This window comes from Homo sapiens, chromosome 5 (genome assembly GCF_000001405.40).
Source record: "Homo sapiens chromosome 5, GRCh38.p14 Primary Assembly".
Classification (NCBI taxonomy): Eukaryota; Metazoa; Chordata; class Mammalia; order Primates; family Hominidae; genus Homo; species Homo sapiens.
In genome coordinates this window covers 142,605,606-142,633,565 of record NC_000005.10, presented here as the reverse complement: position 1 = coordinate 142,633,565, position 27,960 = coordinate 142,605,606, and the positions used below count along the sequence as shown (strand labels likewise).

Below are 27,960 nucleotides of genomic sequence, written 5' to 3'. Positions count from 1 at the left end.
GCAGGGAAATTCCATGAATGCTACTGTATGTCTTCAGAGGAAGTTTAGGCAAAGGAAGCAAGCCTCTTTTTTACAAGGAGATTTTGACACCAAAGTCAGCAGATCTAAAACTTTCACATTAATTTCTCTTCTACCTTAAAGAGCAGACATATACATCAGAAAGGAAGTAGAGAGAAGTCAAGGAATAAAAATGGAACTCAAGCCTGTAAAAGGTACACACATTCGGAAATGTCTGAGTAAAAGCCTTAATAAAATGCATGTGCTTTCCCCCAGTAATTCCATTTCCATAAATTCTTCCCAAGGAAGTAATGGGATAGTTGGCAAAGATGACTACAGCAGTTTTGCTTATAATAGTGATAAAGAGTAAACAACCTATCCCAGTACTTTGGGAGGCCGAAGCAGGTGGATCACGAGGTCAAGAGATTGAGACCTTCTTGGCCAAGATGGTGAAACCCCGTCTCTACTAAAAATCAAAAAAATTAGCCGGGTGTGGTGGCGGGCGCCTGTGGTCCCAGCTACTCAGGAGGCTGAGGCAGGAGAATTACTTGAATTTGGGAGGTGGAGGTTGCAGTGAGCCGAGATTGTGCCACTGTACTCCAGCCTGGCGACACAGCAAGACTCCGTCTAAAAAAAAAAAAAAAAAGTAAACAACCTAAATGTCCAACAATAAAAGGTTAGTTGACACAGTTTTGCATGTTCCTATTGTGGACTCCTGTGCAACCATTACAACCATTACAACCATTACAAGTGAAGGTGCAACCATTACAAATGAACCATCTGTATGCAACCATTACAAATGAAGGTGTAGGTTTCTGTTTATTAATGAGGGGGAAATTCCTAATGTATTGAGTAAAGTCAGATCATAAAAGAGCAGGTTATAAAACAGTTCACTATATATGATTCTGCTTTGTAAGATGCTTACATCTCTATGAACAGAAAAGTTAACAGAAGGCATCTCTGGCAGATATGATCATGGACAATCTCTTAAAACTTTTTATTGTTTATCTGTATTTTCTAATTTTTATATCATCCCCTTATGGTTAAGGGTTTGTAAGTGGACTGATGTCCCCTGCTTTGTTGAATTGATAAAACACCAAAGCAACAGACCTTAAATATTATTTCTTTGTTTCCCAAAAGTATGGTACATGTGCCCCTGTTGATAAGAGAAATTCTGAGTGGTACTGAGAAGTATCTTTGAACAACACTGCAGAGAGAAAAGAAGCCCCCATCTTTAAGTCTCCTTAGTCATTTTGGTTACTCAAGGAGAAAACCTTGGCTTGGGACAATTATGTTTTCAACTTCCCTAGAAGAACTGCTCTTCTCTCTTTATAACCAAAAGAGCCCAGCAGACAGGAGGCAGCATCTAAGCAGAAGTCAATGCCATTGCTGTGCTTCATTGTATTGATCTTTATCACTGCCTTCTATTTATAGGAAATTTTTGCAGTTACACCAGGGAGATAAAGCTTGCTTTAAATAAGAAAATTAGGCCGGGCGTGGTGGCTCGTGCTTGTAATCACAGCACTTTGGGAGGCCAAGGCGGGTGGATCACCTGAGGTCAGGAGTTCAAGACCAGCCAACATGGCGAAACTCCATCTCTACTAAAAATACAAGAAAATTAGCTGGGCATGGTGGCACACGCCTGTAGTCCCAGCTAATGGGGAGGCTGAGGCAGGAGAATCGCTTGAACCCAGGAGGCGGAGCTTGCAGTGAGCCGAGATTGCGCCACTGCACTCCAGCCTGGGCAACACAGCAAGACTCCGTCTCAAAAAAAAAAAAAAAAAAAAAAGCTAATTTAAATAAAATTTAAAAGTAAGGAATGAGTTGAGAGGATAATGATCAAAGTAAGGAAGGCAGTGCACCTGTATTGAAGTCTGAGGCAACGGGTGTTAACCCCTGGTGAGGATAAAGCTACCCCTACTGTGAAATATCCCAATAGTTCCCCCAGGTCTTGATTTCTATCTTATCACTTTAATATAAAAACAATAGCATGGAAATAATAAATAAGCAATTTGCTCAAGTGATGACCCAGCCAGTGGGGAAATAATTTCAGAACAGGATTCTGAGAACGTCCAGATAAATCCTGCTGGGAAAGTGATTGGAAAGAGAGGTTCCTAAGAAGAGACAAAATTTCTTTGCAATGTTTGCCCTGAGGAAAAAGGCCCTTCCACAGGAAGAAGGTCAAGTCCGGTCTATTTTTATAAGTGTTTTTCAAGTGGTTAGTGGACGTATTTCCTGTGGTTCCCAGGAATTCTGCAGCAGGCTCTCAGGAGGATGTTGGTGATAGGGAACAGGGACTTGATGAGCAAGAATCAATAATTATCTCTATATTTGCTTCACTTTTTTCTATAAAAATAATCTAGGGGAAAAACACTTGCTTTAGAAGAGCAAAGTTCATCACAACAAAGAGCAGAATGGGACACTGAAGTCCCTTAGTGCGTAGCAGAGTCCTTAGGTCAAGATTCTACAAGCTGAAATTTATCTGTTCATTTGTTCCCTCCCTCCCTCATTTACTCAATAAATATCTGAGCAATTCCTCTGTGCTGGCCATCGTTTGAGGGCTGCGCAGAAGGTGTTGAATAAACATGGCTTCTGTCCTCCAGCAGCTTACAGTCCAGCGTGGGAAAAAGATGTCAAACAAGAAAACGCATGGATGGATATATAATTAATTACAGATGATGGTGAATGTTGGAAGAAAGAGAACAAGAGGCTGCAAAAGAGAATCATGGAGGTAGAGAAGGAACTTACCTTAGCTGGGGAGACCAGGGAAGACCTCTGAGGTGGTGGTACTTTAGCTGCCCTCTGAAAGGGGCATGGGAGGCAGCCCATGGGAAACTGTTAGGGAAGGGCACTGCTGCAGAGGGACCAATTTGTAGGAAGGCAGCCATATGGAGGAGATCATAGTGGGCTCAAGGACCCAAGGGTACATGCAGTGGCTGGAATAGAGGGGCAAAGGGAGGGAGGAGCCGTAGGTGAGGCCAGACCATACAGGGTCTCATAGGCCATGGTAAGGGTTTGGATTTTACTTTATGGAAATGGAAAGCCATGACAGGTTTTAAGCTAGGGAGTAGCCAATCTGATATAAACTTTAAAAGATCTCTCTGGCTCTATGTGTAAAAGTGATGGGAGGGGGCCAAGAGCAAAAGATGGGGCTATTTCAGAAGGTAAGATAGGAGCTGCTCGTGAATTGGACCTGCTGTGGACAGTGGGGTTGGTAATAAGTACTTAACGTGATAACCCCTCATGGCAGTCCAAGGGCTCGATTAGCAGACCTCAGAGAAGTCAGCCAGCTAACACAGCTGGGACTAGGGTGAGGTGTGGGAGGCACTTGCTTTGGGTAAAAATGTACTCAAGCACTCAAGATAAATCATATTTTAAGCCAGGCATGGTGGCTCACGCCTGTAATCCCAGCACTTTGGGAGGCCGAGGTGGGCAGATCACGAGATCAGGAGATCGAGACCATCCTGGCTAACATGGTGAGACCCCGTCTCTACTAAAAATACAAAAATTAGCTGGGAGTGGTGGCGGACGCCTGTAATCTCAGCTACTCAGAAAGCTGAGGCAGGAGAATCACTTGAACCCGGCAGGCGGGGCTTACAGTGAGCCGAGATCATGCCACTGCACTCCAGCCTGGCCAACAGAGCGAGACTCTATCTCAAAGAAAAAAAAAAAATATATATATATATATATAATATATATGTATATATAATATCATATTTTAATGCAGTATTTTTCAAAAATCCAATTTAATGCAAAAATATCTGTGATTAACAAAATATTAAATATAGCAAAATATTAAATAATAATAATAAAGACAGGATGAGTAACAGTGATAATGTGAGCAAAACAAATTTGAAATGGGCCCCTACGAGGTTTACATTAGTGTGCATATACAGTTGTGTGGAGTGAGACAGACAATAACAAGTAAACAAAAAAGTAAACACAATCCTAAATTATCATAATTGTCATGAAAGAAACATGTTTCAGTCTGAGATAGAGGACAAGGAAGTCAGGAGGGCTTCCTTAGATAGGCTGGGCCTAACGCAATTAGATTTGGAGGCAAATGCTCTGCCTGGAAATGTTATGTGTTAATGAAAATTTTTGCAGCCCAGCGCAGTGGCTCATGCCTATAATCCCTGAAATTTGGAAGGCCAGGGTGGAAGGACTGCTTAAGCCCAGGAGTTGAAGACCAGCCGGGGCAACATAGCGAGACCTTGTCTCTACTAAAAATATATATATTTTTAAATTAGCTGGTCGTGGTGGTGCGTGCCTGTAGTCTGAGCTACTCAGGAGGCTGAGGCAAGAGGATCGATTGAGCCCAGGAGTTTGAGGCTACAGTGAGCTGTATTCGTGCCACTGCACTAAAGCCTGGGGAACAGAGCAAGAACCTGTTACACACAGAAAAATAATTTTTGCAAATCAAGCCTATCAAACTTCCTACATTGTATAAAATTTTACAATCTAGTAACTGGAAAGGTTGGAACAGATCTGTAGAAAAGTTGCTCTCACCACTGAGGGTTCAAGAGTACAATATCGTGAAACACTAGGAAAAGTTCTGCCTTCTGTCTTCCCCACCCCAGGGGCCTATCTAAACATCTAGATTTATCAAACTTCATAAGAGCCCACTGAACCTGACAATGCCAAGAAGGAGCCAAGGAATGCAGGATCTTGAATGTGAAGAGGAATTATGTGCGAAAAGATGGCAGCTCCGAGAAGCAAGAAGTCACTCTGACGTTCCTCCTTACCTCTTGTTGCCTAATCTGCTTTCAAAGGCCAATAAATTCAAAATTCTCCATTTTTCAAACAACCCCGCCCAACATAGTGATTCTTTAATCTCTAAACATGACAGGGGGCAGTGGACATGAAGGATATAAATGGCTTTGAAAGGTCAGTTAGAAAAAAAGAAACAAGGAGAAAAACCATGAGGAGTTGAAGGGATAAAAGCAAACCATGTTTTGAGCTACCTGCCAAAGTTAAAGAAAACTCCCTTGAGAGGCCATGTTTGACGGATGAGTTTACTGACATAGTTATTGGCAACTATCTCTAGCCTCATGATTTTGAGACGGAGTCTTGCTCTTTCACCCAGGCTGGAGTACAATGGTGCGATCTCGGCTCACTGCAACCTCTGCCTCCTGGGTTCAAGTGATTCTCTTACCTCAACCTCCTGAGTAGCTGGGATTACAGGCATGTGCCATCACGCCCGGCTAATTTTTTGTATTTTTAGTAGAGACGGGGTTTCATCATGTTGGTCAGGCTGGTCTCAAACTCCCAACCTCGTGATCTGCCTGCCTCGGCCTCTCAACATGCTGGGATTACAGGTGTGAGCCACCACGCCCAGCCCTGATAAATGACATCTTGACTGCAATGTGCACCTTCCTGAAGATGCTAGATACCAAGGCAGACTTATCTCTTAGTATAGCTTCTTGGATTCAAGATTTTAACTCACCTCCAAGCCTTTTCCTCCCTTATCAGACACCAGTCATGTCCTGGGGCCTTTGGTGATGTTCTCTTGCATCATCTCCTTCCCATAAAGGAGGACTCCTTTGCCTGCCAACAGCTGGGTTGTGAGTGGAGCCAGGTGTAGAATACTAATGATGTGGTCACAGGACCATGAGAGCCATCGGTGGTGCTGAAACAGGGAGCAAACAGTGCAAATGGGAGAATGGTTCCTTTTGGACTGTTTATGTGGGATCAAAGGGAGCTGGCAAGTACATGGAACCTCTAGAAATAGACCACATCCTTAAAAAGAAAAAATGCAAAAAGAAACAAGTTTTACATTGTCCTAGTGTAGGCTCTGCAAAAACTTGGCCCTTGAAGGCTAGCACTGGGGCAAGTGACTGTTTTCTTCCTGCCCTTTGGCTGTGATACCAACTGGGTCGCTTTGCATATCCTGGGCCCTGCTCCCCTGCCTGCTTCCTGCGTGGTGCTTGGGGCATGCTGGGGCCTCCATGGCCCCCTTTCAAGATCCAGAATGGAGTCTGACATATGAAATGAGCTCCACAGGGTTGACATTCCTTCTTCATATCCAAGCACCTTAATACACAAACCCGCATGCTGGGATTGCTAACTGTTCTTCCAGAGATGCCGGGATATTGTCTGTCTAGTAGAAATGTGAGTTTTGTCCTTTTTATTTTTTAATGTTTTGAGGGAGGCTGGGCCCCTTGGAAATGGGGATGACATTATAAACTGGTATTTCGGGACTGAGGGTTTTATTATTGACTAAGCCACAGATTTGCTTTGGTAAGCTGTCCATTCTCTCTGCATCACACTTCTCTTGGCTGGAGAAGAAGGAGAGGTGTTCATCTAGCCCATATGATAGAGGAACAGCAAATACAAAATGATTATGAAGTACCTCATATAGTGTCTACACAACAGCTATCCAGAGATGCTTGTTTATTCATCCCAAATGCTCCGTGAAACCCCAACTGCTATCAAAGTTCAGAAAATCAACCCACTAAACACAGGTTCATATTAACAAGGATAATGATAGCTGACATTTCCTAGCACTCATTATATGCAAGCTCCCTCCTGGACCTTGTCCTATTCCTTTCTCATGGCAACGTGATGAGATCAGAGCTCTTAACAGCTTCATTTTACAGAGAAGACAACTGGGGACCAGAAAGGTTACATGACTTGCCTGGTTTGCAAGAACTTAATGACACAGCAGAAACCCAAATCCAGGTCTATGACTCTCAGGTTGTGAGAATTTCCATTTTCATGACATTTCCAACACAGTCTGAAGGAGTCTCTGGCCTCTCCCCCACCCTTCATCTGCAATGGCAAATGGCTGCCCTGACAAGGGCCAAGATGGTCTCACAGGCTGCAGGGTCACCTAAAGGAGGCACAGGAGTGACAATCAGGAAAGTGCTGATGGTGGGACGCTGCACCCCGGTGAAGAGGACAGGCCATCAGGGGAGGAACTTGCAAAGTTCCATTCAATAAAAACAGATATCTCCTTTAGAACATGAACGAATGGGCTGTACACGTTCCGGGGGCTGGTAGAGTAAAAAGAATAGAGAAGCTCAAGGGTCACTCAGTTCAAGGGGCATTTTATTCTCTTATCCACATTTATTCAGCAATGAAAATAGTGGACTCTGGAGTCAGCAAACCCTACCTTCAGATCTCAGCTCCAACACGTTTTAGGTTGGTGCAAAAGTAATTGCGCTTTTGCCATTACTTTTAATATTTAGTGGTATGATCTTAGAAAAGTGACATAAACTTTCTGAGCCTCACTTCCTTAGCTGCCAAATGGGGGAACTCAGACAATGCCTTGAGTTCAGTCGAGGACAGCTTCCCTTTTCTGTTAATTAAACTTTGGAATGTTGGGGCATTAAAACAGGCTAGGGTAGGTGATTGCACAGAGAATACTATTCTATTCATTTCCTTCCTAGCCAAAAACAAAAACAAAAACAAAAATACTTTCCTAACAGAATTTGAGGATTAATTAATGTAATGTGCTTAGAACCATATCTGGCATACAGTAAATGTTCAAGAAGGGTCATTATATTATTATTTGTGGACATATTTTATTATTTACGGATAGGTCCAGAGTCGGCTATTGAGTAACAAATGGTAGGGCAAGCCCTCAGCATTTCTAAAGAGATAACAAACACATACTTCAAAAGACTGCATCTGGAGAAGCTAAATTTTCTAGGTCAAGGGGAAAGAAAAAAAAGATGCAGCCAACAGACCATCTTCCTATAAGCTGGAATGTTGGCTGATTTCGAGAAAGGAATGTCCTTGCCAGGCTGGTTCTGGAAATTGTAACTTGCACAACAACAGATTCAAAAGATTTTTGGAGACACATCAGTAAGAGAAGGCTAAAGGAGGTGGCGAAGGGCTGCCAGAGCCCCTGCAGAATCACTTTGCATTTGGCGTGAAGCCCTGGGGCTTTAATGTGTCCGTCTGCAGGAAGGATATTTCCATTTAAGATGTGTGCAGGTCTTCAGGATGGCCCAGGGCCGGCCGGATGGTTTGGACCGTGGTGTACCATTAAAGTTCAGACAGAATGGGGGCCGGCAGAGCACACCATTGCACCAGGGAGCACTCTGTTTTTCCTTCTGGAGTGGATACTGTTTTCTCTAAGCACTTAAAAGAATTCCTGACCTCCAACTGAATGATGCTCTATGAGGGGGAGTGTTTTGTGGATGAATAAGCCAGACTGCAGGGAAAAAACATACAGAATCAAGGGAAGAAATAAAGGATACTACAGGACACGTGTGTGTGTGTGTGTGTGTGTGTGTGTGTGTGTGTGTCCGCTTGTAGTTCTCTCTCTTCGTTATGAAGTGTGCAAGCTGGGGCTGGGACTGAGCTGTTTGGTGACACAGCTGGATTAGATAACAGCCCCACTTCCTGCCAGTTACACTAGATGCAAGCATCTATGTCCCTCTTATCTGAAACATGGCTTGATGAGTCTGGTGTGGCTAGACTGTAAACTCCTTAAAGGCAGCAACTGATTTCTACTACCAACCCATAATCCCTTATTTGAAAAGCCTTGGGCTAGATATGTTTCAGAATCTAGAATTTGGGTAATTTTAGCGAGGTAGTATGGTGCATATGTTGTATATTATGGAACAACTCCAGTGGTGTCTGGGACACTACCCTAGAATCAAACACATTAGTAACTGTACCAGATTATATAAGTATTATTAACACAATGCAGAACAAATAGACTTTAAGTCTCAGGACAGTTTGGGCTAGGTTTTGCCACAGTCTGTTATGAAAGAACTTCTAGCTTTCAGAGCTTTTTGAATTTCAGAATTGTGGATTAGGGATCTCAGGTCTTTCTTTTTCTTTCTTTTCTTTTTTAAATTTCCAGGATGTCTACAGCATTCTGCCCATGGCAGGCACTGAGTAGAAGTTGTTGACTTCTAGAGTATGTGACATCTTGATCTCCCTCAAATAATATTTGATTCTAGAAACCAGGGGACAGTTTATTCTCAGTGACTTGGGGAGTCTTTAGAATTAAAAGTATCCTAAATTAAAGAGCAGAAGAGAAAGACTATTAAGCACATTCTCTGTCATCCTGAACAGTAACACATGTAGACCCATGAAATATACTGAAAATTCATCACTAGCACGTCATGTTGAGCACCTAAGCAAATGAGAGCAGTGCATCAGTGCTTATAAATGACAATGGAAAGTTCTAACCTATCACTTAGAACATGGTATTTTTCGAATACTCCTAAAATATTACTAAATGGGCCAGGCGTGATGGCTTATGCCTGTAATCCCAGCACTTTGTGAAGCCAAGGTGGGAGGATTGCTTGAGCCTAGAAGTTTAAGACCAGCCTGGGTAACACAGTGAGACCCCATCTCTACAAAAAAGAATTTTAAAAGTTAGCCAGACAGCCGGGCATGGTGGCTCACGCCTGTAATCCCAGCCCTTTGGGAGGCTGAGGCAGGTGGATCACCTGAGGTCCAGAGTTCGAGACCAGCCTGGCCAACGTGGTGAAACCCCGTCTCTACTAAAAATACAAAAATTAGCCAGGTATGGTAGCGGGTGCCTGTATTCCCAGCTACTCGGGAGGCTGAGGCAGGAGAATTGCTTGAAACCAGGAGGCGGAGGTTGCAGTGAGCCAAGATTGTGCCATTGCACTCCAGCCTGGGCAACAAGAGCGAAACTCTGTCTCAAACAATCAAACAAAAAAAAGTTAACCAGGCATGGTGGCCTATGCCTGTAGTCTCAGCTACTTGGGAGGCTGAGGTGGGAGGATCGCTTGAGCCCAGGAATTTGAGGCTACAGTGAGCATGAGTGTACACTGCACTCTGCACTCCAGCCTGGGTGACAGAGCAAGACCCTATCTCAAAAAAAAAAAAAAATTTTTTTAATGAAATGACACAAAATATTTCTAAATATGAAAAATCAAGCTTGTTCAATCCTAAATCAATACCAGATGATTTGTAAAAGTGACAAAAGGGGCCAGGCACTGTGGCTCATGCCTGTAATCCCAGCACTCTGGGAGGCTGAGGCAGGTGGATCACCTGAGGTCAGGAGTTTGAGACCAGCCTGGCCAACATGGTAGAAACCCCGTCTCTACTAAAAGAATGCAAAAATTAGTTGGACGTGGTGGTATGTGCCTATAATCCCAGCTACTTGGGAGGCTGAGGCTGGAGAAATCACTTGAACCCGGGAGGTGGAGGTTGCAGTGAGCAGAGATCGCACCACTGCACTTCAGCCTGGGCGACAGAACGAGACTCTGTCTCAAAAAAAAAAAAAAAGTGTCAAAAGGGTACACAGCTGGTGATAGTCAAGCTAATATCTATCGAATGCTTACAAGTTCTCAAGTGCTGAGATTACAGTGACTCTGTTCAGTAGCTACTGTTATGCAGCCCCATTTTGCAGATGAGGAAACTGGGGCACTGTGAGAATGAGTCATTTACTAGTGAGTGTCCAACCAGGATTCAAACCCAAGTTTAGCAGTATGCTGGGTAAACCAGCTATCAGAGGGGAAAAAAAAGGAGAATTTTAAAAGCCCTGGCATTTGCCAATTTCTATGATATAAATACTCTCACCAGGGTTGATTTCAAGATATTAATGGTTTAATAATAGTAAAATTCCTGAATATTTAATAATTGGCTTTCATGAGCTTCTGGGAGCTGTCTCCTGCACACCATTGTCAAGTCCATCCCATAGTCAAGTCCACAGTTTACTGTCAACCACGGAAGATGAGATTTCAGCTCATGGAACAGAACTGGTTTGGGGGCAGCATGCTGAGATGCTAGCCCAGGCCAATCAGCCATGGCTACACTCCTACCTCAGACCCAGTACAGACCATGGAACATGGAGCAAAAGAAATAGAAAGCAAAGAACACACTGCCTCCCTTTCTTCGGCAAACTTTCCTTCACCAGGGAGTGGAAGGTGGGGCCCTGCCAGCCTAACACGCTGTGGCAGAAATAAAAAAAGCCTGGATGTTTTTTCCAGGCCCTACAAATATTTTTCTTGGTTAGATAAGTTCAGACTTGAGACTAAAGGAGCTGATCACTTCCTTTCTGAGATCCTTAGTTTCCATAGTATTTTCTTTAAAGAAATAAGGAAGTATTTATTACAAGATGAGGACAGGGTTTGAGCCTGCCTTTAACCAAAGGTAGGGTATTCTGGCCTAATTTGAACCCAATTAAAATACATTTAGACTCTTGGCTTAGCTTCTTTGTCAATACCTATAGGACATCACCTGCTAATTAGGTAGTCTGATAAGATGTTCCACAAGAGGCTCCTGAGAAAGGACTGGCCCTTCAATCAACAAGAATTCACAGGACACTAATAATGCATAGGTATTTGCTCAATGCTAGATACAGAAAGAAAAGGCATAGTTTCTGTCCCAGGGTCTCAGAGACTAATGAAGGAGTCAGTGAAGTAAACGTAGTTAAATTACATTCATTTGCCCATTCAACAGATGTTTATCAAATGCCCATCAGGTGTCAGGCATTTTGCTAGGCACTGGGATACCATTGTGAGCAAGACCAATTGGTTTGTACTATCATGGAGCTGACAGTCCAGTCATGAAAAGAGACATTAAATAATCACAAGAGTGAATGTGTAATTAAACACTGGTAGTAAGAGCCATGAAGAAATGTTAAATGGTCCTATGAGAACTGGAGGAACCTGACTCAGTTCAGGGAAGACAGGAAAGGCTTTCATGAGGAATTGAGAGTTGAACTAAAATTTGAAGAAAAATTAGGAGTTAACCAGGGGAGTAGGGTAGAGAGAAAGAGAGGAACATCACTCCAGAGGGAACAGCATGGGCAAAGGTCCTAGGGTGGGGGGAATCAGAAAATGGAAGGCAAGTTTGGAGGGAGACGTGATGGGAAATGAGGCAGAGGGGGAGTAAGGGCTGAACCTCCCAGAGTCCTGCAGGCCACAGCAAGGCTTTTGTTTTTGTCCCAGAGCAATGGGAAATCACTGAAGAGTTTAGGCAGGGGGATATAGATGGGAATTACACCCAGCGCTGCAGTGAAGTAAAGGAAATGCTGTCTGCTGTTGGGAGAGCACAGGGGAATGAACCCACCTAAACTGGTATATGTGAATTTTAAGAAAGAGTAGGGAGGTTAGGGTTGGGGGATGTGTCCAAATAAGGCTTGCTCGAGGAGGAAATATCCGAAATATCCAGCTAAATTTTTGAAGGGTGAGTGTGACTTAGTCAGACCATGGTGAAAGGGTGGAGGAAAGGAGGGAAGGAGGGAGGAAGGGAGGGAGGGAGAAAGAGAAAGAGAAAAAGAGAGAGAGAAAAAATACTGTTGGCAGCAGCACAATGTTTGGGCTAAGACCTGGGTGAGTATGAGGGTGTAGGGGGACTATAAAAAGAGGCCAATAAGAGAAAAAGTCACAGGGTTAAGAAGGGGTCAAATGATGAGAGCCTCACAGGTCATGGCAGGAGTCTGGGTTTTATCTGGAAAGACAACGGGAAATCAATGACCCAGTCAAAGATCTACAGCAGGGGAGTGATGAGTTAGAATGGTCACTAGCAGCAGAATTGACAGTGGATTGAAAGAAGGCAGTGCTGGAAAGGTGGGACCTGCTGCAGCAGCCCAGGTGAGACAGGTGCTGGGTCTGTGCTAAGGCAACAGAAGTGAGGCTGGAGAAAAGAGGATGGCTTTAGGAGACACTAAAAAGGTAAAACTGAAAGGGCATTTTCACCAACTGAACAGGTGGGAGTGATTTCTATTCTGCCCAAAGAATAGTCTGAATGAAACAAATTTTTCTATTTGGGTTGTCTTGCCTTATGACCTGGTACATGGTCAATTTTCGTAAATGCTCCATGTATCTTTGATAAGAATGATGTTCACTTCATTGTTGGGTACAAGGTTCTTTTATACACTCATCAATTAAGTTTACTAGTTGTGTATTTCAATCTTCTACATATTAATATTTGGTGTCTGTTTGCTCTATCATTTATGACAGAAATGTATTATAAAATCTCCCACCATAATTGCGGAGTTGTCACTTTCTCTTTACATATTTGTCAATTTTTGTTTTATGTATTTTGAGGCTATGTCATTAGATATATACATGTTTGGAATTTGTATATCTTTCTGTTGAATTAATCCACTTATTATGTGGCAATCCCTTTTATCTTTAGTCATTCTTTTTGCCTTAGACCTACTTTATCTGATATTAATATAGCCACACGAGTTTTCAATTTTTTTTTTTGAGACGGAGTCTTGCTCTGTCACCCAGGCTGGAGTGCAGTGGCGCGATCTCAGCTCACTGCAAGCTCCGCCTCCTGGGTTCACACCATTTTCCTCCCTCAGCCTCCCCAGCAGCTGGGACTACAGGCGCCCACCACCATGCCCAGCTAATTTTTTTGTATTTTTAGTAGAGACAGGGTTTCACTGTGTTAGCCAGGATGGTCTCGATCTCCTTACCTCGTGATCCGCCCACCTCGGCCTCCCAAAGTGGTGGGATTACAGGCGTGAGCCACCGCGCCCAGCCGAGTTTTCAATTTTTTTGTTAACATTTGTCTGGTATCTATTTTTCATTCTTTTGCTTTTAACCTCTCTATGTCATTATGTTTTAAATGTGTCTCTTGTAATCAGAGTGCAGATGGAGTTAAAAAAAAAACAGTAGCTAGTAAATTTAGCACATTTACATTTATTGTGATTATACATATATTTGGATTTATTTTGGCCACCTAATTCTGAGCAATTTTTTTACTTTATTTTCTTTTTTTCTTTTTCTAGATTATTTTGGAATAGCACAGGGTTTTGTTTTTTTTTCGTTTTTTGGTTTTTCTTGAGACGGAGTTTCGCTGTTGTTGCTCAGGCTGGAGTGCAATGCCACAATCTCAGCTCATCACAACCTCCGCCTCCCGGGTTCAAGCGATTCTCCTGCCTCAGCCTCCTGAGTAGCTGGGATTACAGGCATGCGCCACCATGCCCGGCTAATTTTGTATTTTTAGTAGAGACGGGGTTTCTCCATGTTCGTCAGGCTGGTCACGAAGATAAGCACAGTTTTATTTATTCCACCTTATCCCCCTTACGCCTACCAGTTGCCGCTTGGACTAAATACATTCTATTTCTTTTCTTTTAGTAGTTACCTTTAACATTTAACATGTATATTTGACTTAACAAAATTTAGTTAATATCTCTAAGGAAGAATTAAGATTTTGGGTGATGCCATTCATAGCCACAGGCAGCAAGGACTTAGAGCATATTTGGAACCAAAGCCAAGGCCTGTTTTGTATATGCTGGGTTTGAGGATACATCCAATTATCACCTTAGCAGGTGTCTGTCTACACATCTACCTTCAGTGGCTTTATATACTCTGCAAAATATCCTCCTTCATGGGTATTCCACATTGCTTACACAGTGACAGGGATTAAAAACAAAACTAAAGGCTGGGCGTGGTGGCTCACGCCTGTAATCCCAGCACTTTGGGAGGCTGAGGCGGGTGGATCACGAGGTCAGGAGATCGAGACCATCTTGGCTAACACGGTGAAACCCCGTCTCTACTAAAAATACAAAAAATTAGCCGGGCGCGGTGGCAGGCGCCTGTAGTCCCAGCTACTCAGGAGGCTGAGGCAGGAGAATGGCGTGAACCTGGGAGGCGGAGCTTGCAGTGAGCCGAGATTGTGCCACTGCAATCCGGCCTGGGCTAAAGAGCGGGACTCCGTCTCAAAAAAAAAAAAAAAAAAAAAAACAAAACAACTAAAAAATAAATGTCAGTGTTTGCCTTCCTTTGATTCTTAACACATCACAGTCTTTCCTTCCAGCTTAGTTTCCAGGGCCAAGCTGGGCACAAATGTCTCCTAGATATAATGGGCCTCGCAAATAACTGTAATAACTATATAGTAACTGTCACTATATTAACTGTTGATAAGCTGAGAACTGAGTCTGAAATGCAGACCAGGATTTTTTCTTACATAACCATGGCTTACCTTTGTGCCTTTCATCTTCTCTGCTATGTTTGTGGCTTACAGCACAGGGGGAGGAGCTTAGCTAATTTCTGCCAAATATGGGAATGAAAAACTTCTATTTTCAAACCAATTAAAAAATTATTTTAAATTAAGCATTTAATCACAGCTGACTTAGATCACACCAGGCTCCAACGAGTTCAACATAACCAGTTACTATTATCTCCTATAGGTCAGGTCCAATTTTTCAAGCGCTGTATCAATATTGTACCCATTTAATCCTTTAGACAACTGTGTGAGAGGCAGGATGAGAATTATTAGAGGAAACATCTCAGAAGGAGTGAATGACTCGCCCGGGTTCCCAGAGCCAAAGTGGTTGCTTACTATCCACATCCTGTTCATGTGTCAGAGTTCAGGTTCCCTTCCAGAGGCCACAGCTGACAAAGTATGTCAGCCTTAACACAGATGTTCCAATAGGCTTGGTGTTCCTCTAACCTGGGTGTCACTGATAAATCAAAAAAATCATCTGGATTTCCTAAAATCTCACCCGTACCCCAAATCTCAAAGGGCTAGGCTTCGTGCACAATGGTGACACGGAGTTCGCTGGGCTTGATCTTCTCCATTTCCCAGCACAACACAGACAATCCCCTCCTCTGACAGCCACTAAAAAGAAAATAGTAACAAGAAGCAGAGCTTATAAATTTCCTTACACTTAATGCCTGATTTCACTTAGTTAATGGATTCATTTATTAAAGCAATTTGTGTAAATCTCCAAGGACCTGCTAACGTTGCTGCCTTATGGTTTTATCACGCCATATACTTCCTTTATTTCTACCCTTTAACAAATAGTGGATTGGCAAGGAACTTTGGACCAACTACCGCTCAAACTATAGGTAAATTACAAATAAAGTTTAAAATAAGGGCTTTTCATGCCCCTGGGGTTTCCTTTAGCAACAAAAAGGGATTTCATTTTTTATATGTTTCAGCTGAGTCATCAATCTCAGTTACCATGGTCTGTCAGTTTCATGTTGACTCCAGGCTTATTTTCAGAAGCCTACATGTCTCCTTCAGGTTTTCAGTTGTGGATCTGAAGGGTTTGGGGAGCCATCTGACATCAGTATAGGCACCCTCATGATGCTCCCTCTCACTGAGGGGATCAGGCAGAGAGCAGAGTTGTGGCCTTGTATGACTGCAGGTACACTGTGGTCAGGAGGGAGGGGCCCCTGAGGACCTGCTGGGCTCTGGCTGAGGTTATTTAGCCAGTGAAAACTCCACAGTGATGAAGTCTGGGCTGCATGGCTCATACACACATGGTCTAGAATCTAGAAGAAAAGCCATTCTTTTTTTTTTTGAGACAGAGTCTCGCTCTGTCGCCCAGGCTGGGGTGCAACGGCGCAATCTTGGCTCACTGCAACTGTCGTCTCCCAGGTTCATGCCATTCTCCTGCCTCAGCCTCCCGAGTAGCTGGGACTACAGGCATGCACCACCAGACCTGGCTAATTTTTGTATTTTTAGTAGAGATGGGTTTTTGCCATGTTGGCCAGACTGGTCTTGAACGCTTGACCTCAGGTGATCCACCCACCTCGGCCTCCCAAAGTGCTAGGATTGCAGGCATGAGCCACCACACCTGGCCTGAAAGGCCATTCTTAAAATGAAATTGCCCCACAATCAGAGGCAAATGGGACCTACACTGGAGGAAGTCCAGAGACAAGGAGAAACAAAATTCGGCCCACCTAAGATTGACAATACAAATGACTATTTGTGCAGTTAAGTGGCAACCACTGGTATATAATTATTGTCTCCTGTACCAAATGAAGTACATAACTTAGGAAGTGCTTGGAAAAAATAAATGAAAGAAAAAAATCATTACCTCTTAGTTGTATTTTAAGGAAGGGGAATCTGGTGATGGTTGAGTGCTAATAGAGAGGTGAGGGATAAAGATATCCACACTGGGAAGAGCTAAATTGCTTTACATTAGAAGTGGATCCAGAAGGGAGTGGAGTGAGGAGTTAGAGTGAGAGGCTGGGTGGAGAGAGGAGTGAGTGGAGAGACAGGAAGAGACAGAGGGACAGAGAGTAAGAGAGCCAGAGGTGGACACAGAAGGACTTAGAGGCTTATGGATAAGAAAGTAAGGTTTGGAAGAGACAGTGAGGATGGAGAGAGATTGTACTATGCAAGGTAAACTCTGCAATCCTCTCTGTGAAATTGACATAAATAAAATTACATATATGTGGTATTATATTTATTTTCTGTCTGTTGCTGTATTATGTGAAAAGAATTAATCGAAGTTTCACCATATGGGATGGAGGGGACATTTGGGATGATCTGACTTTAAATATAGTTTATATGGTATTTGCGAAATTCTCTTTGGGATTCTTGGAGGCACCTCCAACACTAGTTGAAACCAGGGACAATGGCTGGCCCATGTGGTGGCAGAGTGGGAAAAATGTACCAGAAACATTAAAATGCCAGGAGCAGAGAAAACAGATGGAGGCTTCCAACATGAGCCCTCATTTTAAAGTCATAAGGACAAATTATTGTAATTGGTGTCTTGATTTATGATGGAACCATCTCCTATGAGAGCAGCTCCGCACAGCTGCTACAGGCACTGATGGATGGTTAGTGCAGGGAAGGCAGGGTAGCTGCTGGTCTTCCATGATGCTCACGAAGCTGCTGGGGTGGGCTTCTCCTGGAGAAGGTGGAGATGCATGGAGTCCTGTTTCACAGATGGCATGGGGGCAAAAGGAGAGGCTGTTGGTGGAGACTAGCCAACCTTTGGGTCACAAATAAATATATGAATGACAAGTTAATGGTGGCAGATGTACATGTCAGGCAATGGGTAAAAACCCCACTCCTCATAAAAAGACTAGTGTGGATAAAGTCACTAAACCTTTTCATGGTGATCAAGGGCAAATTGGGGCTTTCTGTTCCCAGACTCCTTTTGCGATTCAGCTCCATCGCTTACTAGCTGTTGCCCTTGGGCAGGTCACTGAACATCTGTAAGCTTTGGTTTTATTAAAAATGATGATAATATTAGTGTCCACTTCAAGGGATTATGGTGAGATTACTTGAGATAACCTGTAGCCCAAAATACGTTAATGATGAGGGTGATGATTTTTATTCTAAGACCACTTGATAATCAATATGTATTGATGATCACATTCACTACTCACACTTACAAAGTACAGCTCCCAGGCCGGGCGCGGTGGCTTACGCCTGTAATCCCAGCACTTTGGGAGGCCGAGGCAGGCGGATCACGAGGTCATGAGTTCAAGACCAGCCTGGCCAACATGGTGAAACCCCATCTCTACTAAAAATATAAAAATTAGCCTGGTGTGGTGGCGCATTCCTGTAATCTCAGCTACTTGGGAGGCTAAGGCAGGAGAATTGCTTGAACTGGGACCCGGGAGGCCAAGGTTGCAGTGAGCTGAGATCGTGCTACTGCACTCCATCCTGGGCTACAGAGACTCCGTCTCAGGAGAAAAAAAAAAAAGTGCAGTTCACACGTTAGTTTCCTGGTCTCTTTTTGGCCTCTTTCTTTTCAGTTTTTAGAGTCACCAGCACTTCCTTCTCCTAAATGGTGGGGCAAGTATATGTTTTAACCAATTCTAATGCTCATTGGTTTTGTTTTTTAATCCTTTGAGGTGTAAGTGATGCATTTTCACATTAATAATATAAGTTTGTATGTAGTGGCTACATATAATGTTAAAGGTATATTATATATAATATGGTGGTTTCTGTGTTCTATCTCACATTAGAAAATAGCTAGGATGAAAACAGCCTGCGTGCAAGGGACAGACCCACCTTCTCTGTGCCACATGAAGCTATGTGGAAAGCTGCAGAATGGGCAGGAACCAGGCATAGCCTTCATAATGATCTGTCTCATAACATTTCCTTTGATATGGTATTTGCCCTTTAAAAACCCCACTTACTCCCACTCTGTGCCTTTTTCCCTGGTTCCAGTTCTGTTTCCCCCAGCAAATCCAGAAGCTTCCCTTAACATACTAACCCTTTACTTTCCCTGTTGTGTCCCTGAAAGGCCTCCTGTGCCTTTGGCTGCAGGTCCCGAACGTCCAGGCCATCTGTGCTATCTGCTTCGCGGTACCTCACCAACGCAACGTGAGGGTGGAGGGCAGAACCTTGGTCCTGGCCTCTCAGCTTTTGTGGGTTTCAGCCAGACCCTAGGTGTTATTTTAGTGCAACTTTGGTGTTTAATTTGAGGATGTGTGTGGACCAGAAGGAGGGACCAAAACATGATTCTTTTCCCCATGGTCAGATGATTAAATTTGAAGTTCTAAAAAATGCAGTTTGGTCCAAAGCTGTGTCCAATTGGGAAGAGAGAAAAATGCCCTGGAAACCCCTCCCAGGCCTGGGACCATCCTTCCTTAACCACCAGCCACCTCACAGGCCCGCGGACTGCGGGCATCACCTGGGCAGGCTGTGCTTACTCACTACCCGGGAACCCTGTGCCCTGGAGCTGTCCTTCCTCTCTTCAAAGTGCATTTTGTGCCTTTGCTGGAAGAACCGACTACAGGTTTGTTCAATTTCTTACAGTCTTGAAAGCGCCACAAGCAGCAGCTGCTGAGCCATGGCTGAAGGGGAAATCACCACCTTCACAGCCCTGACCGAGAAGTTTAATCTGCCTCCAGGGAATTACAAGAAGCCCAAACTCCTCTACTGTAGCAACGGGGGCCACTTCCTGAGGATCCTTCCGGATGGCACAGTGGATGGGACAAGGGACAGGAGCGACCAGCACAGTAAGCCCATCTCTATGGCACCCCCCTTCCCTTTCTGACATCTTCTGTAGTCAAGGTGGGAGGAAGGTGCACATTTAAGTACAGGTACTTGCTTCTCCAAGGTTCTATTCAGGCATGACACATTCAGAGGTGGAGTCACATAAATGCGTAAAATGTCTGGGTTTAGAAAATAGGGACTTGTGGGGGCCACCACTTACCCAAACGTGTCCTATTTCAAGTTTTTTAAAGCACTCTCTGCTGACCCAACAGAACGGGCTGCCGGTGCTCAATTGCTGTATGTTTTCCCAGGTTTCTGTAACTAGTGAAAGATCTGGCCCCGAAGGCTAGTCAGGGGCCTGCACGCTTCATGATGGGATGAACCAGACAGGCATGGTGGTAAATCCTGCACAGAGATGTGGGCTCCGTTTCAAGTCAACTGACTCTCCTGGTTATGTTTCCACTGGGCTTGATTTGTGAAATCCCAGTTCATAATCGTAGTCTTACACATCATAAATTATGCAGCTTTCCCTCTGCGTATCACGCAGATGTGGCTGTGGTAACCAGCAGTGGTAAAGTCATTCTCCAGACCTTATAGAAACTGGAGAGTAGGAGCGACTAGCGCCAAATGCTGAATATCTCTTCCAGGACTTCCTGGCAGCCCGGTTCTCAGAGGTGTTGACAAATGAAGGTATGACTCTAGAGAAAAGAATCTTCTTGACTATCTAAGTATAAAAAAATCTCTTCCTTCTGCTTTGGTACTTCTGGCATTGGTGTGTATGTTTGATATTAGGTGTCCAGGTCCTATCGTGATGTTATCTGAGATTCCCTGAGTCCCACTGCAGCATCAGAGGTTACAAAGAAGCCTAAAGTCAGATCCAGTCCCTGCTTAGAGGGTCAGCAATCTCAAGAGTCAAACTTGCCACAAATCAAGAGAAGGAAAATCAGGAGACATAGAAGAAGACAGGCAGGAAGGAAGTTTCTGTAGGACTGGCTTCAAAATGCAATGCAAAACACTCACTTTGACATGATGGTTTATACATCAGGTGGTCTTAATTATTCATGGACCATGCACCAGAGGTTGCAGGCTCTAAGAACAAATGACCACTTCGCTGGTGCTCACGCTGTACCCTCAGATGCACAGGTAATGGGGATGGATGCTGGCGTTTACACGAGGTGACGTTGTTCCTTCCTCCCCACCCACTGCACAGACCCTGGAGATGAGGAGCAGGAAGGCTGAGGCTGGGGCTTGCAGCTGCAGAATTAGCTCTTTTGGGCTTTGTTTTGATGGCTTATCTTCAAATGGGCTTGCTGAATGTCTTATACTCAGTGAAAAACAGGTGTCAGAATGAGGCAAAAAAAAAAGACTCTAGTTTGTTAAATAGCATACATAAGCAATATTCACTGCAAATTAGCAAACTTAGATTGTAGTCCATTGTGTCAGGCATGATACACAACTCACGTGATCTGCCCCACACAACACGAACAAGCTTTAATTCCTCTGGGTTTTAAGTGTTCCTAATACGTCTTAACCAATTTTCTGAAAAAGTAGGGAATGCTCTCCGGTCCTCAGAACCCAAGAGGAAAGACAAACTTCATGATATGTTCCTTGGGGTTAAGCTAGCTCTTCTGGAAACCTTGACTTCTGGAGTAAAAAAAGGCTCCAATACTGGAATTTCTGTAGCAATGGAAAATGGCTTAACTGTTGCCATTCCATCATTAGCACAACAGACTGCACTCTGGGTGTGTAACACTGGCACAACTTCTGGAGTCCACAGTGGATTTGGCCGCCTGACTTAAGATGTCAGGAGCCCCTAGAAAGCAGCACAACGTAGCCCTGGGAGTGCAGGTGAGGATTTCTGCATTCAAGGAATGCCAGATTATTTTCCAAGTGAACTTGGGCAACTGCACCTTTCACCCTCACTTTTCTCATTTGTACAAAAAGAATACTAATATTCCTTGCCTCACAGGTTTCTTGGGAGGGTTAAATGAGATAATATAGTGAGAGTTCTTGGCACAGTGGCTGGCACAGAGGAACAGCACAGCACGTGTTGGTTCATATTGCAGTTATCATCATCAAGCTTTCCATATAATCAGCCTAGCATATGGTAACACAGGGTCGTATTGAAGGACCTTCCAGACTCCTCTTTTTAACAGTACTGCCACCCAGGAAAGTCAAGGGGCTAGATGCAGGCTTAGATTCAGCATCTCTCTGCCAACACTCGGAGTTGTTGTGTGGGCCTATTATTTGCTTACTCTGGAACTAAGAACAAGGACCAAGAGGACAGAGATCAGAGTAAGTGGGGTGGGTGGCCAGAAGCCCATCCGTGTACCTGTCAGTACTGGAACTGGATATTCCACTGAAGAGTCAGCAGGCTCGAGTTCAAGCCTACTCTGCCCCTTTCTACCTGGAGCAGCCCTGGACAATTAACGTTCTTGCCATTATGCATTCTTTCTGTTTGCAAACTCTGCGAAAGAAGCTTCAAGCCCCCCAGCCCTGGGACGCTTCCAGTCCTTTCCTGACTAGAAATTGAAGTGTCTCTAGTGTTCCCAGATAATTTTCAGGAAAATCATTTAGTCTCGCTGAGACTCAGTTTCCTCACCTGTGGAATGGGAATGGCAGCATTGCCCAGTGTGCCTCACAAGGGCGAAACTTCTATTTACTAGGGTTCTGCAGGTGAGAGGAGTCCTGGGCACGGATGTACTCCCTGAATGTGGTTCTGTTGCCCTCTTCTGCCCAGTGGTGGTACTGCCAGAGCCCTTCTGAGTTTCAAGGGTTATTCAGAAACAGAATTGCCTCGGCCAGGCATGAGACGGATGCTCCCTGACTAAATGTGATCCACACGGCCTGGCAAGGAGATATTTTTGATTCCTTGATCACTAGTTTGAGCATAATTAGAGACTGAAGTGACAGAGTCACACGTTAAGACTTCCTTCAGAAAGAGCGTTTCTAAAAGCCAATCGAAAAATTTAAACAAATCACACAAGATAGAACCGTATGCCTTTGAGCTCTACAAGGCAGAAATAACTCCTTTCACGGCTTCTCTTTGTCCCCAAGTCATTGATCATTCCTGGGCAAATGTATCTTCTTCCTACCTCTAGGAGAATGAGTTTCCAAGTACCTAACCTTCCTTATAGTGGTATAACCCTAGGGCAGATGCTTGTGTGTGGGCTGTTCTAATAGAGACCTGAGTAAAATGTCTCTACTGGTGGACTTCTAGCCTGCAGAGAAGGTGGTTTTGGTTTGTCCCATTTCCATTCCTTAGATCGCTGCTGCAGGCAATTACCAATATGGACTGTGAACATTGGTTACGCTGCCATGCTAGGAAGGCCAGGCAGAATCAGCCAGGGAGTGCTGCATAGATTCCAGGGCTGATGGGCACAGTTTGTGAGAAGGTTCATGTTGTCCCCTAAGCTTCAGCTCAGGGGGACACATAAGTGGTGTCACCATGAGAGGGGGAGGTCCTGGAAGAAGATCAGGTCCAGGGGAAGATGGCCAGTTCCATTTTGGACACAAGCATTGAGGAGTGTCTCACGTACCATGCAGCTGTCCTCAGGGTTATAATTCTCCATTTATTTGTGCGATTATTTAATGGTTTTCCCTCCTACTGGACTCCTAGAGGACAAGGACTTTGTCTCTCATTGCTCAACACTACAAATTTTGTGTCTAGCACATTGCCTGCCACTTGGTAAAATGTCCAGTAAACATTAATTTGATAAGTGACTGAATTGTATTGGTGGCAGCTAAATTCAAAGTCAACAATATATTCAATAAACATCTATGAGCCCTGATATGTGCTAGGCATTATGCTGAACTCCTTCACTTCTACCTAACCACAACCTTGAGAAGTTACTAATTATTATCACTCTAAGAACACTGCAGTTGACAGGCGTGACCAGCTCCTAACTGGGAGGGCTTGGCACCAACCACATCTTCTGCTTCCAGGATTAAGGCTCCTTCTGTATCCCACAACCATCCGACACCAACATCATGACAGTGGTTCCGCCCCACAAACTGATTCAATAAACACATCTGTGTTATGGATCAGATGGGTGTAGGTCGGGTCCCAACACTGCTGTTCACCAGTTGTATCATCCTGGGACAGTTACTTCTCAATGTGCCTCAGTTTCCTTGTTTTAAAAACAAGAATGACAACAGCACCCACTCATAGGAACGTAGGAGTTTTAATGTGATAATGTTTGTAAGAGTGTTTAGCACACTGCTAGGCACATAAGTGCTCAAAAAAAATGGTATTGATCATCATTCTTCCGGGATTCCTGAGCCTTCCTCACCTAACCAGCTGACCTTTCAAGTCTGTTAGATTAAGTGAATGCTATGCTTGCTCGCAGAACTGAGGGTGACTCTTTGTCCCAGCTTCTCTGGGACTATCTGGGTTGAAGCCCCTGAGGCCTGACACAGAGGCATAATGTGCCCAGACACAGGTGCAGCAAGCCCCGCCCCATCTCACTCCTCTGGCAGGGCAAGTCTGCTCTGTGATTGACTCTGATCTTTCTGGGGAGTTTCCTCTCAGGTGAAGGGGGACCATGACTTATCCCTCAATGGGATTAATAACTGCAACAATAATTAGAGAATAATTTCCTCACAAGCATTCCAAACCTTCAGCTGCCTGCCACACCCACAACTCCTCAGCTCCCCAAGCACGCAAGAGACTACGTGGGGAGCAGAATTACCGGCACCACTCACTGCACAAATGGAAATGTTCTTAAGCAAAGTGCGTGCCAATCAAATATTTATAAATCAAGCCACATCCTAAAGGCGCTAGCAGAGTTCACTGGTCAAAACAATCCTACCTTGCAGCCCTTTCTAAAGGGCAGATTCCTCTTCATGAAATGCCTCCTGCCCTGTTGCTTTAGGGGAGTCCAGACTTCTATTTTCTGGTTGGGATCACTCAGCACCTAGCAGTTAAGGCACTTTATTCCCCACCAACATAGACCCGAAGTCAAAACAGTTTTTCAAATGACCACGATGGGGAGAGCTGGACCCCACTGCCAGAAGTCAGAGAGAAGGGGAGGTCTCCAGGCAGGAATGTACTCCGCGACAGGGTTCTCTCACCTCGGTCATATGTGATGGGAAGGACTCCTTGCCCTCCTCCCCACAACCCTCATCTGATTACATAGAGGATTTTTATACATAAACTTTAAAATACACACACACACACACACATAATATATCACATATACTATATATATATGATATATATGTGTATATATACTATATATATATGATATATATGTGTGTGTGTATATATATATGTCATTCAGTCTCTGGACTGTATCAAAATTTTCCAGACAACTTTTTCAGACCTTAAAGAAGCAGACACCTTTTAAGATAAGGTTTTTTTTTTCATATATATTTACATATATGTGTGTGTGTGTGTATATATATATATATATATATATATATATATATATATATATAGATGTGTATATATATTTATATATATGTATATGCATATATATATATTTTTTACCACTGGAATTATTTTCCCCCAAATTCGATTTTTCCCCTTCTCTGTCTTTCTCTAATGTTTTACCAATCCCGGCTTGTGGCTACATTTTAATTATAAATGTCACTGACATAAAACAACCGCACCAATTTCTGAATGAGGCTGACCTCACTTTGGGTAAACACGGCAAAGGACGGGAAGTCTCCAACCCAGAATAAACCAGGCACATAATCTCTCTTGGCCTCTCTTTGGAGAGCAGAGGCGGAAAGCAGGCTTAGAGGCCACAGACAGACATGCTACAGAAGCAGAACCTCTCTCTCCAGGCATTTTCCTCATTGAATGCACCAGTTGTGGTCTTATCGTTACATTTGCCTGGGATGGGACAGGAAGATGCTAGGATAGCTTGGGGCTCAGAAACAGGGTGCAAGACCTCAAAGTTGACTTCTCTTGGCACTGGCAGGATCATAACCCTTTTTCCTTTTTTCTACCTTTGGAAAGTAAGGGATTGCTATTCTTACTGTGAACAAACTACTGCTAAGACCTAATGGAAGGCTTTGGGGAGCAGAGGAGAAAACCAAAGCTACAAACTTAGTTCCTCAGACAAAAGGTGTGAACAGTGAGTTGCGGGCTAGCACAGCCATGCAAAAGCTCTGGGCTCCCCTTTATGTAGGTTTCCCAGGTATGCAGGGACTCGTGAAGCAGTTTAAATAATGAGCATGGGACAAGGAAGACCATGACCCACAAAGGTGAGTTTGCACATTTCAGTTTCATTGACATGTAGTTCTGACAAATAGGCTGTTTTCAAACCAACACTTCTTAACTCATTCTTAGTAAAGGAGCAGGACTCTGGATTCTATTGCGGGCACATACAGTCACAAATCCACCAAGTAAACACTTCCAGCCCTCTTCCCGTACATTTTTACAATGCTTTATCTGAGTTTGAATTTCTCCAAGAAATTTCTATCGTTAGAGTACCTTTTTAAAAGTTGCTTTCCATTTCTTCAGCTAAATTAATTGTTAATGTCCCCATTTCAGAAGGGGAAAATGAAGTACCCTACAGACCATGGACGTATCTTGTTTTTCAAAAAGTACTTGCCCCTTCATCCCTGGGATACTTGAGAGACACTGACCTTCCTGTTCATAGATAGCAACTCCTAGATCCCCGTATGGGATAAAGAAGAGTGCTTGCTCCTCATTTGCTCTGTGCGCTAACCTGGTCGGGGGGTATTGAAAAAGGGAGTGGACAGAGAAGTTAGAGCTTTAGAGGTGCCTCATCCACCCGTCCTGCCTCCCCATTTCTCCTGGGTCCCTGTCTGCCCCCAAGAAGACCCACCTTTTATAAGTGCCTATGCTCTGGTCTAGATGCAACATGGACTCAAACCTAAGCTGGGTCATAAAACATCTCAGGGGTCACGAGGAACAAAAAGTGGGAGTCTTGGCCAGCTCTAAGTGTCCCATTGACTATGAACGGAGCTTTAACACATCAGCTACCATCCTAAAATGTATGAAGGAGAATCAGGGGAGATCATAGCAAATCCCTGATGAAAATTTTGTAAAATACACAAAACAATATGCATAGTTCATGCATACGTAGTAAAATAGAAAACTATGCACTAGATATAGACTAAACACCAGCAAACACTAGGAATCCTATCACTCAGAGTCCTCCAGTGTCACCAGCTGGCTGTTCTTACCTCAGAACTGTTTATAAAGAAATAGAGTTAGGATGAAGGAAACATTTCCTCAATTCCTCTCCCAGTCTTAGTTCCTCTTATCCTTCCCAAAGCAGCTACTTGTATGAATCTGGTCAGTATCTGGTGCACAGTTTTATATTTTACTATAGATGTATTCATGAGCTACACACGTATTGTGTTCTTTTTCTTTTCTTTTCTTGAGATGGAATCTCGCTCTGCCGCCAGGCTGGAGTGCAGTGGCACGATCTCGGCTCACTGCAACCTCCTTCTCCCGGGTTCAAGCAATTCTCTCGCCTCAGCCTCCCGAGTAGCTGGGATTACAGGCGCCCACCAACACATCTGGCTAATTTTTTTTTTTTTGTATTTTTAGTAGAGACGGGGTTTCACCCTGTTGGCCAGGCTGGTCTTGATCTTCTGACCTCGTGATCTACCTGCCTCGGCCTCCTGAATGCATTGTGTTTTTTAATATGATTTTCATCAAGGATTTACTATATTCTCCCATTGCAATTTAGTTTTTTTCACTGTATGTTATATTCTACCTTTCTTTGAAAGGGGATTAAAAAAAAAAACTACATACACACACACACACACACACACACACAGAGAGAGAAAGAATGTTGCAGATTTTGTGCTTTTGTTTGCTTTTAGCTCAAAAACAATTGCAGCTTTTGTTATTGTGTTGCTGTATCACTCCCAGGTTCATTTGTCTGTATCCCTAATCATGCAGAAGCCCCAAGTGCAGGGACCATGGCTGGCGCTGAGCGTAAGTCCCAGCACCTAGTAGATGAATATGTGTTGACTGAATGGTTTTCTGTCCCCCAACCCTGAGCTGCTACCCGAGGAAAAAGCTGCTGCTGTGTGGCCAGCCCCTCCCTCTCTTCCCAAGGCCCCACTTTCTCATGCTCTCTCCTTCCTTGCCTGTCCTCAGCAGCAGCTGCAAGAGGATGTAGGTCTGGAAAACTGGAATGAAGTCACACTAGAGAGCTGGACACCAAGCCAGCTACACAAGCCGCTCAGCCTGGGTGTTGCTCCTTCCTGCCAGCCCTACTTGCAGAAGGATATATGTTTAGGAAACTTAGCCAGAAAGAAATCTAGTGAAAATGAGCTATGAAACTTGGACATCCTGGAGAAATAATATTTACAGAGGAAACTTTTGAGACGAACTCTCACCGGCACAACAAACCTGGTGTCGGGACTCATGGCTGAGGGCTGAAG

General features: G+C 43.9%; 1 protein-coding gene and 1 non-coding gene across 28 annotated transcripts in view, besides 2 other annotated features; both read left to right on the top strand.

Annotated features, from left to right (window-relative positions):
• The window catches only part of FGF1 (fibroblast growth factor 1), a 105,893-nt gene that overhangs the window by 64,505 nt on the left and 13,428 nt on the right, over positions 1–27,960 (top strand). For 25 of the 27 annotated variants that reach the window (NM_001257205.1, NM_033137.4, NM_001354962.2 and 22 more), the window contains one exon: positions 19,405–19,607. In NM_001257205.1, coding sequence (NP_001244134.1) covers positions 19,439–19,607 — 169 coding nt within the window. In that variant the 5' untranslated portion in view covers positions 19,405–19,438. Of the gene's footprint in view, positions 1–12,231; positions 12,270–19,404; positions 19,608–27,960 lie in introns of those variants that run through there. The other 2 variants (NM_001257212.2, NM_001144892.3) reach the window with 1 other exon arrangement.
• LOC124901195 (small nucleolar RNA SNORA36 family) lies at positions 7,261–7,397 on the top strand. Its single transcript, XR_007059154.1, has one exon. It is a non-coding gene; the product is annotated as a small nucleolar RNA SNORA36 family (small nucleolar RNA).
• Positions 11,245–12,269: a promoter, noted in NCBI's record as "-985 to +40 promoter". NCBI's record gives the evidence for it as "EXISTENCE:reporter gene assay evidence [ECO:0000049][PMID:10849427]".
• Positions 12,159–12,230: a nucleotide motif, noted in NCBI's record as "nucleotide motif; homopurine stretch". NCBI's record gives its function as "may form a structure sensitive to single-strand nuclease cleavage" and the evidence as "COORDINATES:motif similarity evidence [ECO:0000028][PMID:7533902]".